Genomic DNA, 11,972 nt, shown 5'->3' with positions numbered 1-11,972 from the left:
CTTTTTTTCTTTTAGCTACTCAGTTACTTTAAAAAATTATTTGGGCCTTATATATAGCTTCTTTCCTCCAGAAGAGACTAGAATTTGCTTATGCTTGATTTTTGGAGCCACTACCAGCAAAGGTATTCTTTTAAATATATGACTTGATATATTTTTGCTCCATCCAGGTAATAGTAGTTTGTTGCATGTCTGTACAAAGATTGGCTAGTCATTACACCACCTTGTGAATTTTCCTTCTTTTCTGCTCTGCTCAGCATTAAATCAAATTTCCTGCAGAGTAAGGAGGAAGTGGAGAACTTTACCTCTCCTTCCCACTTAAACTGAGAAGGTAGGCTTTCAGGTCCTGCCTTAAGCAGGGAGACTTAAGGCCCCAACTTGAGTGGACCCAGGCTTTGGTTTTTGGTCATTTCCTCCCCACAGGACCTTGGAAAATGAATGCCAGTTTCTACTGGTTCTACGAATCCCCTCGGGACAGAAAAAGGTGCAGTGTTCTTCCTATCTTTCAGATTCTCTCCTCCATCAGGAGGAGAGATTTTGGCCTGATCATTTCTTACTGTTGTGTTTATTATTTGATGCTTTTAAGAATATTTTCAAGGTAATGGTTGCCAGGACATTTAATAGTTTTTAAAGAGAGAGTTTGCCCAGATACCTATAGAATTAAATATATATATATATATATGTTTATATATACAGACATCGATATATACACATACACACACGTACATGTATATGAAAAGCACTTATAAATTAATAAGGGCTTTATGAATAAAAGATAGTATCTGAAGTTTCACAAAAGAAGAAAGGAATAAAGAAAGAAAGGGAGACGAGGGAGAGAGAATGGAAATTGAGAGAGAGAAAAAGAAAGAGCAAAATGCTAAATAAAATGTAAAATAAATGCTTAGCTCTGCTCATTATTAAAGCAGCGCAATATAAAAAAATAAATAATAGATATGTGTCAGATGGGAAAATATAGAAAGTGGGGAAATAGGCACTTTTCTGCTTGTTTCAGAGGTGTACATTAATACAAAGTTTCAGGAACAAAATATAAAATAACTATCAAACTGTTAAATATACTTAAATGTCTATCTAGCTTCTTATATTTTTAGAAATTTATCTTGCACACACTGGTACCAGAGCAAAACATATATGCATTAGAATACATTTTGTAGCACTGTTTAATAGAAAAAAAAAACAGAAAGAACTTCAGTCATTATCTGAAATACAGATTGAGCATGACTAAACTAGAAATTCAACTAAAATGTGTTTGAAATGCTCTGAAATCCAAAATTTTTTGAGTTCCCACATGACTCCACAATAGAAAATTCCACACCTAACCTCATGTGATAGGTTACAGTCAAAATGTGGTTAAAACTTTGTTTCATGTACAATATTATATAAAATATTTTATAAAATTACTTTCAGGCTAAATATTTAAGGTGTATATAAAACATGAATAAATTTTGTGTTAAACTTGAGTCCCATCCCCAAGATACCTCATTATGATATGTAAATATTCCAAAACCCAAAAAAAAATCCAAAATCTGAAACACTTCTGGTCTCAAGTATTTCAGATTAGGGATATTCAATCTGTAATTAAATATATTATGGCATTGCTTGTGCATAAAATGCAATATTATGTAAACATTAGAAATAAGCTATTTATTTATATTCAAATGTGGAAAATTCCCAAGATAGACTGAGATTTTTTTTTAAACAGCAAGCTGCAACACATACAAAATGTTCTCATTTTTAAAATATTCTGAAAGGATACACAAAAAACTGTTAATGGTAGAAATGTCTGCAAGTCAGATCAGGCATCTGATGGGAAGAAAACACCTATTCATATTTAAACCTGTCTATACTTTATGAATTTTTCCCTATGAATATGTATTAATAAAAATCCATTAGAACAAAAATCAGCAATATATGCAATATTTTACAAACATGAACCCTCAGTATAATTGTAAAATAAAAATGTTGAAAAAGAGTCTAGTTTAAATAAATTATGATATTTCACCTCTTGTAATATCATGCTATCATTAGTGCATCTTCATTTTTTTCCGTAACATGGAAAATGCTCATGATGCAATGTGAAAACTGTAGGGTACACACACATATAATATGACTTCAATATTATGAAAATAAGAGAGAAAATGCAAACATGGACAACTTCATTGAAAAACTGTCCCAAAATACTAACTTTTTCTGGATGGAAACACTTGTTTATTTTAATTTCCTCTTTATTTTTTCTCTATTTTCAATGTTTTTATACTAAAATATCCATTATTTCAATAATGTGTAGAAAACGACACTGTTACAAATGTGATTGTTTATAAATGTTTAGAGCCATAATAGAGTGCCCAATGAAAAGTTACTTATCTTCCCTAGAAAGCATTATCTTTATATTTTAACCTTTATAAAAGCATACAAATAACAGTAAAACAAAAGGTGAAGTTACATAACAGGACAGTCATGTATTTACAGCTTCCAACAAGCAAACTCAAGTTGATGCAAAGGCCTGACCTAAGAACAGTGATGCTTATCTACTTGGAATTATGATTCACTTGCTGTTGTAACAGAAGCATCAGAAAGCTGTTCAGTGTCTGGAATGAACACACAGAAAGATATATGTGAGGTACTACTAAAGTGAGTGGAAGATAATACTGAGGGTCATTTAAAAAAATACTGGTGCATGTTTCTTTAAAACAGCAATAGGTTCTGGTGTATATAACTTTTTTCTCTCTGCTCAAGAAAAGGGATGATGGACTTGAAAACTATCAAATTAATACATTTGTTGTTTTTACCCAGATGAGTGTCATGATGCTATTTTTTTCAGCTATTAAAAATGAAGAAGGAAAGTGAAATTAAAAAGATATTGAAATATAAGCAACACACACACACACACACACACACACACACACACATATATATATATATATATACAGTCACAATTAGGAAAGTCTCTACCTGATTCTATGATACGGCAAGTTAAAGGTTCATATGTATGTTCTCATTCTATTTGGAAACATCACAGTTCTGGTTTCCTGGTTTGTAATTGTACAGTATGTTCTGTACAGAAGAAGCACAGCCAAGTCCCCTCGACATATGTCTCAGTTCTATCTCTCTCTCCCTCTCTCTGTGAGTGATAGAAATCTCCTAACAAAAATAAACCTCTTATTTATTATGGTTCATCACAAGGCCTAATAAGTACCCTCAGGCAAAATTAGATTTGTTAACCATAACTCATAACTCAACAAGTTGTCCAAAATATTTTATTTTAATCCTTGAGTAACAATAAACATATGTAATTCTTCAAGTGTTCAAGAAAGAATGCTCTCATCTTTAGTATTTTTAATTGCATCTAGTTATTTTCCATTAATTTTCATATGAAATATCATTAATCATAGCTTTTCTGACAGCTGAATTGCTTGCATGCAGAGAAATTCTTTGAAGCTTAATGTTAGTACTCATTTACCTGCTTCAGGGAAGCTTTAAGACAATAAATGTATATTCACCTGAGGAAAAAAAAAGTCTGTCTTCAATATGAAGAGGACTCAAGAAGTATTTGAGAGTAGGGGCTCCTGAGAAAAACAGACCCAAAAGCTTCCTGACCCAGGTTAAGTCTTTAGAGGTTGGTTTTGTTGCTCTCTGAGAAGGGAATTTTCTACTATCAGAAATGCCTGAATCCAAAATTCACAGTTCACAATTGAATATTAATTCTTTATATAACTTCCTTGACAACATAAAAATAGCTTATATTTCTTATGTATTTCTCATTACATACATTGTAATGAGTCCGTAGTTTTGAACAAATAACCTCCAGAGTTGAATTAATTATTTAATTTGCCTTTTTCCATTATGTAGTTTTTGCTACTCTCAAATATTTGGAATAATCTAAAGTTGTGTATATTTATTTTTATCATATTTCATAGTCGCATTCACCAATTTAATAGCTTCCCATTGCCTCATATACTCATTAAAAGTTTTGTAATAAGTGAATTCATTACTAAATAAAAGCTTGTGTGATTAATGAATGAATTAATAATAAATGGCTGAGATCTTTGAAATAATAGAAGACACCAATATTATCCTCCCTTCAGTGACTTTAAAAATAAGGAAAATACAGTAAGGCCTAGTTACTCTACTGTTTGAAAAAAAAAAAAATATATATATATATATATATATATATACTTTTAGACTCTTATACTTGAAATAAGAAAACAATATTATTATATTTATAAGAGTGAACTTTTGCAAATGATCCACTATTATATGTCTGTATTTGATTTGAGGGGTTAGGGGAAGGAATGAGATGAGTTTTAGGAAAATTTTGAAACTGGTAAAAAAATCTTTATTAATATTTATATACCACTTAACTATTTAGCTGAACACTCTTAACCTAACTTAAAAGCCATTTGTCTATAGATGTATATATATGATTCTCCAAAAAAGTTTACTTTTAGATGAGGAAAACATGAAGAAAAATACTTGAACATGTTAATCAAAATATCATTTTAGAATCATGACACCTTCACCATAGGATAACTTAAAACAAATAGTTTGCATATATTCCCTCTTGCTCCTATTGTAGTTATTATATTTGGTTATTAAAAGCGTTTATTTAGAAATATTTCTATATCTAAAACTGACTTGCTGAAAACATATAAAATAAAATGTAGTAAACATTGGATATCTAAGATTTATGTTGTCCTACATTGTAGGCAAAGATAAGGATGACATATAAGAAGATCTCCATAATTAAGTATAAAGGAGCATAATTATCCTTAGAAGAGAAGGAAATGTAACAAGTTAAAATAATTTAAAAGTGTTTACTAAGAAAACCTACCTATGATAATAATTTTTGAATTTTTAAAAGTCTTACCTTTCTCTATAAAGCATATTCAATTAAGATCAAAGTTTAGAATTTTGTTTTAGGATTTAAAAACATTAGTATTTACAACTATTTTAGTCAACTAGTAGAAAAGAGGTAAGCTTATTTGGTAATTTGATGCCAGAGCAGATTGATTTTTATTTTTGAAAAGAGCTTCTTAATCAAATAGTTTTAAATTGTCACAAGTTGGGGAGGGGGAGATTATTTTTCTCATCTTGGTATTATTGGACTGCTTTTCTTTTTGACATTCAGCAAAATTTCCCCATACACAAGAAAGGAAAATAGAGTTGCTAGCGTTCTGCAGCAAGATCCAATATTTTTCTTCCTTTGCAGAGAAACCACACTGGGACCCAGATGGTCAAATGGTCATTCTGCACATTGTACCTATTTTCTCAGGTATCTAAAATATATTCACAGCTGGTAATGCTAGACTTCTAGTATCTTGATAAACTAAGAATGTTTCACATATGTGTAACCAATACTTTAGAGAATATTAGGAAATAAAAGAAGCCAGTACCTTATCAGTCATGGAGACTTTTCAACATTTTTAGAAGTGAACAATTGATCAAGTTATAGCAGGTTCATTGTAAATAAAATAGTATTCTCATATATTCCCATCCGTAGTTTACTTTTAAAGTAAAGACAGAGACGATTTGCAGTTTTATTGTGAATATTTTGGTTTTATAGAAGGGTCTTTCTATAGAAGCACATTCAGATGATTCTTTTCTTGACTATTACCTTTGAGAAAGAAGGCTGCTTTCTCAAGGCAGTGAAAGATCATGCTGATTAATGCATGCCCTATATGATAACAGTAAACCTAGCTAGATTTCATTTGAGAATTTCAGTACAGGTGGGCCTTTGTTAATGTGACTTGTACCAACTGTTTTTAAACTCTTGGAAGAAACAAAGACAAAATCAGCTCCAATGCAGCAAAAACCTCGTGGGAATCTTTAACTCATTAAAACTCAAAGGTAGATGGATCTGTAGAAAGAAAAAAGTCTTTCAAATGAACAATCAGTGTTGTTTAATCTTAGGCAATAATTTCTTCAGCATCAGGGAAAAAAAAGAAGACAATTACTATTGAAAAATTACTGTTGAAAAATGCGAGAGGAAACGACAGGAAAGGATATCTTTGGCAACAAAAATTTTCCTGCATTTACAGTTTTAATAAAGCACTATACTTTGGTTTTTGCCCTTCCAAAATCACAATTTTTATTCATTTGATCATATCAGGAGTTAATATTTAGTAATAATTATGTTAGTTTAGTACTATATAGCCAAAAGTTTAATCATACTTTTGCAAAGTGCTTTAGCTTCTCAGGGCACTGTACACAATACCTAACACAAGTCTAAACCATGATTATTGTTACCAAGATGATAACTAGTAAAGCAAAAATATGCCAAAACTTGGACAATCCAGTTTAACAGCTTCTGTTCTTGATATCTAAGTCACTCTCAACTATTTAAAAATAAATGGGCTTAACAGCTAAGGCAAGAGAAGGAACGGTTATTACTCAGTACCAGATATATTAAGTGTTACACAGTAGTTTCAGATACTTTCAGAAAGTGGCTTAATATATGGGAGATAAAAATCCTCTGGGTTCAAAATACAAACATACGGATCTATTGATCATTCCAACAGCAAGTAAGTCAGCCTCAGAATTTTTTTCTAAAACCACAATTTATTAGGATCAAATTTTTCAGAAATTCAATGATTATTATTATAGCCATGATTATAAATACCAAATTGCAAAGCCTCCACAGATACTAATATCCTGAGCATAGCTATTGCCTAATAAAGAACTCTAGGGTATCATATAGTTTTTATTATACAAAGTTTAGTGTTTTATTAAGCTCTTAAATCAGATGGTTAAAATGAAGTTCCATGATACAGAAAACTGCTTTTAAACCAACTAGTCAAAAAATCCAAGACCTAATTGTCCTTGTTTCTATGCTTTATTCAGTGCTCATTTGAATGCTGTCCAACATACTTACACCTGCAAATAAATTGTGTAATTTTGCTCAAATGTTAAGGGAAAGATCATCCTTTCTCATGCAATGGACTATGAATTCTCCTGCAAATAAATAACATTCTTGCTAACTTTACATTTATGACAAGAAGTGAAAATCTGAATCTTAATAATGCAAACATTTGAACATCTAAACAGAAATGGAACTGCAATAATTATTAATGTATTTTTTAGTTTTTTTAATCAGAGTAGCTTCTTTAGTTCATTATAGATTGAAAATCCAGATAAATTTCTCATCAATTTACTATCTTTTTTCTGATGCTTAAGATTTACTTTCATCTGGTAAAGTCATTTTTCTTTAGGTTTATGAATTTAAGTATCAGGAAAAATTCCCTGATTATGAAATAACCAAGGAAGATTGTGCAGTTTTTTTTTCTGGTTTATTCTCAACTCAATAAGTCCAGGCGTCTATTACTGCACTAAGTACCAGCTTTTATGTTTATATTTTGCATCGTAAGTGACATATTAACAGGAAACTATAGGTCATAGGCCAATCGTTTTCTTAGTAACCACAGAAAAGAACCAATGAACAAATGGCCACTTTGTTATGAGGGAAGTTTCCAGACTTGGGAAAGAAGTGTTCCCTGGCCCTAGCAAATGGTAAAGTTTATACTCAGCAAGACTCTTCTCATTATAATTTGAGAGCTCTATATAACAGGGTGTTTATTTTCTTTGACAAAACCAAGAAACTTGAAGAATAAAACTAGACCAGAAAATGATTTGATCCAAACACTAAATACTTTTTTAAATTCTAAAACTCTTCAAGATTCTTCTCCTCTAAGTTTCAACTTAAATTGAGATATGTTTTTTCTCAGTATGGACATATGAATGTAATACTTTCATACCTAGAAAAAAAATTCCTTCACTATGCTTTATAACTTATTATAATGATTGAATTATCACCATGCATTTTACAGTGCAGTGACTTTTAAAATATAGTGAATTAATGGTTGTAATTCTGTATATATTTTAAAGTTGCCTATGTTATCTGTCAGTTCAAAATCTGAAAAATTATTTTCAAATTAGAATCTTATTGGGAATTCATACCATTAATTCAAATCTACTTCAAAATGTTTGGTATTTCAGTATAAAAATTATTTATTGTCTATCAAGTTTTTGAAACAAAATATTCAGGAATGTCAGTAACATGAAAAGTCACACAAATGACTAATTATTCTTTACTACTTTTAGATATGTATGTGTCTTACACAAGCCTTCTTAAATTTAACCTAAAATGTTAATGGGGAAAAAAAATCTCATCCTAGCTGGAAACCAAGTTATTTTTCTTAATTAACAAAATGATAATAAAGCCTTTCAACAGGCTGAAGCTGGTTTTAAGCTCATGTCTTATGAACTGGTGTATTTCTCCCCAACACACTTGTCATATAGATGGAAACTTTGCTTTTTCTAATCCAATTCCATACTTATTTTGCATTCCTTTTGATGTCTCCAGTTTGGCAAAGAATCTGATTCTGCCTATACAACTTTAAAGGATGTGATGTTTCCAAAGGTTTTTGTCAGCCTGAATCACCACAGTTCATGAACTATTGAAATCTGTGGGCTTTGAATCTCTTTACTTCCATCATCAAATTGTTCATATATATGATTGAATTATAGAGTTTAAAAATATATCAATGGCCATGTTTGATTATATTTCATAAAAACCCTTTCTCTGTTATTAGAATAGAAAGATAGAAAATGGACCATATATCATAAGTGTGTAATATACAAATCACAATTAGTGGTTTAAATCTCAATTATATACAATCACAGTGGCAACTCTCGAATAGATACAAACACACCACTGTGTATCATGTATGCATACATACATAAAATCATATTTAAAAATACGTATCCAAAAATTATTCACGGCATTGGGAAGAACATATTACAATTCAGCCAGGCTATGGTTCAAACCTATATTGATTCATTACTCATTTTTTGGTCTTGAATTCTTTACTTAAACTAACTCACCTCAATCTTATACTTTATAAAATGGAAACAATAATACTTATATCTTTAGTTGTGTAGAAGAATTGAATAAAATATATGTAAACACCAAACCCTGCATCTTCACGTAGTAGGGGCTCAATAAAAGGGAGCTACTGTTATTTTACATGCATGTAATTTGTTCTAGGTAACACATAAAAATAATAATCAAGATTATTGTTTTATCGGCAATTAATACAGCAGCTGCCATTGGACACTCAAGTATAACATTTAATATTAACACATAAGAAGCACCTTAATATGTTTGCAAGCCAATAATTTCACTGTTTTATACACATACCCTTATCAAAATGTCCCAGGTTTCAATTATTTAATAGACTGCATCTGTTAAATTTTTTAAAATACTAGTCAGTTTATCAAATTAAAAATAAATGACAGGGGAGGGAGACAATCAATCAATACATTAAAGAAGAAAACCTCAAGCGATTGGCATTATTCTTATATTAAAATATAATACTTTGTTACTAAATTTTGCAGTTTCTGTGTTTATAGAATCTATGTGTATGACATCCTCAATGTCTTCAAATGTAATGTCAGCAATATGGCCAAATGTTTGCTCAGGAGGCCACGACTTTATCCCAGGACTTTATATAAGTAAAATTGTCTACATAATCCACATCCTATCATAATCTCCACAAATTTTTAGTCTATTTTTGGCAATGATTGTAAATCTAAAAAGAGTAAAAGAGGTAAGTTAAGATAAAATGGCAGTAATGATAAGGGTGTTACATAAAATCCTAAGTGCATCTGCACTGTCCAGTGTAACTATATCTGAGTTCTAAACTAACAGAGCAGATTCTAATTGTAAAAACAATAATGCAGCCTGCATAAATGATTGTTCGCAAATAGTTCTTGCAGTTCATACTTTCATAAGATGTTGCTTTAGAACAGGTTAAATATAGTATCTAATTACTAACTGCAAAACCTGTTTATAAAATATGATACTTAGTTTTTCCACTTGGACAGGCAAAGTGGTTATCTCTTTGTAAAATCACAGGGCTTGAGTTAGAACAGGCTCACTAGTTCTGTTGAAAATCAATGAAAACCAAATAAAATATCTGAAAAAATTGTGGAAGTCTCCAAATAATACTGTGATTATATGAAATCTATCTTATTCTCTTGAATATTGATATAAACATCATTTTTCTAAAGAAATTATTTCCCTTTGAATAGCTTTTGAAAAAATAAATTTTGTTTTATGAAATGTCAGTAACTCTAATTGTAAATTAATAGCTTTACATTTAGAATGTATCACAAGGAGACAATTTTCTCTACTCCATTTTAACATTGGCCTCATTCAACCATGGATTGGCTGACTGGTGCATTCTGTGATGACAAACTTTAGCATGTCACTACTGCTTCATTTAATAGTTAACAAACAAACTCTTCTGGGAGGTAGGAATGTCACAAACGTCTATTTTCTATATCATGCACAATATTTTCTTTCTTAAGAACTGACTGCTTTGTAATAATCTGTTTTGACAATAGGTACACATACATAAATGTTGTGTTAAATGTTTTTAGCTATGATAGAGTATGGACATATGGCTAGAGTGTGGGCCTTGTCTAATTATATGCATTATATGATTTGCTATTATTGGGGACCATCTTCCATTCATTTAATAAGGCTTTTGCAAATTGGCAGATAGCATTTGGGCTAAAATACACACAGGATATTTGCAATGAAAAAAGAAAAAAAAAACCCTCTGCCTTTTCTCTCGTGTAGAGCAATTTGTCAAGTAATTAGCCAACCTAATTAAATTTTTGTAGCACTAATCAAACGAATATGCTAAAATTTTCTTTGCACAGCCAGTTTGCTGTCTGCTTGCATTTAACTTGATGGTTTGAAAGGGGCCCTACTCTGTCTGCCACTCCACTTAATAACCTAATTTGCATTTTATATTGGTAAATCAAATTAAGCACCAGTGGCTTTTAGTATGATTGACTGTGGTCAGGCCTGTTCAGATGGGACTTTTTCACAGAAAATTAGGCACATTTTAATATGACTAAGGCTGTGCTTTCTGTGTTCAACAAACTGCATTCACTCAGCTAATTAAAAGTGCTTGCTTCCCCTACTCCCCCCTGCACATGATAGATTTATCCAGCTGGTGTGTCCATTTTCTTTGTACAATTTCTTGATGGAAGTTTTTATTCTTAAATATAATAAGATTGTCTAAGCAACACTTCAGACCAATTTGCATGAAACATATAAACAATACTTTGTTAGAAACTGATTACTTTAAGAGGTAGGTGCATCTGTTTGTAAATACAGGTTCTTGTGAGGGCTTATAGGTTTTAGCTTATCTGTTGAGCAACATCAAACTTGGAACATTTTCACTGATCAGTATATTAATAGCAGCCAATGTTGATGAATCATATATTATGCCAAATTAAAGAAGACTTCCTACTTTTTTATTGTTGTTTTTGTAAAAAGCTATTTATATTTTTAATGAGAAATGATAAAATAAATACAAGCTTAAAAACATCCCTCTTACCCAACAAAAGCAAGATTCATTCCTAGTGAGACTTAACAATACATTTCATCATAAATAGATATTATCTCCAGTCTGCAAATGAAACATAGAGGAAAATGAGACACAGAGAGATTAAGTGACTTGTCCATTAAAATGGGAAGAACTGAGATTTGATTATAGCTTTCTTGACTTTCAATCTGTGTTCTTCCCAATATCCCGCCATCCCTTTACCTGAACCCAAATACCAGCCACTTTGTTACCTAAATATTTGCAATATCTCACTGAGAAAAATTACAAATTCCCTTAGAATTTTAGACTCTATAATACTGAATACAATTATTCTTTCCATGTACTTCTCACAACACAGTTTTTATGTGCAGTAGTAGAATTGTCAAGAGCTAGTTTTATATTTCTTTAGGAATACTCTATATACCCCATCATACTTTTAACAACAGCAACAACAAAATGTCCTTATCTGCTAAACTTATGCTTGTCTTAAAAATAACATTTTAAAAATTGAGAAAACTAATGATCTAAATACCAAATTGACCTGAATCATCAGCAAGT

The 11,972-nt window shown here is 30.8% G+C and overlaps 2 annotated features.

The window, feature by feature from the left end:
- Nucleotides 10,002-11,771: an enhancer, noted in NCBI's record as "VISTA enhancer hs1419". NCBI's record gives its function as "enhancer in: neural tube[7/8] | hindbrain (rhombencephalon)[6/8] | midbrain (mesencephalon)[6/8] | cranial nerve[7/8]" and the evidence as "EXISTENCE:transgenic organism evidence [ECO:0001131][PMID:17130149]".
- Nucleotides 10,470-11,194: an enhancer, noted in NCBI's record as "hCREST1 fragment used in the Tg(hCREST1/isl1-PLAP) transgene". NCBI's record gives its function as "activates a zebrafish isl1 promoter in motor neurons of transgenic mice" and the evidence as "EXISTENCE:transgenic organism evidence [ECO:0001131][PMID:15680372]".

This window comes from Homo sapiens, chromosome 5, assembly GCF_000001405.40.
Source record: "Homo sapiens chromosome 5, GRCh38.p14 Primary Assembly".
NCBI classification, from domain to species: domain Eukaryota; kingdom Metazoa; phylum Chordata; class Mammalia; order Primates; family Hominidae; genus Homo; species Homo sapiens.
This window is presented reverse-complemented; position numbering and strand designations above follow the sequence as displayed.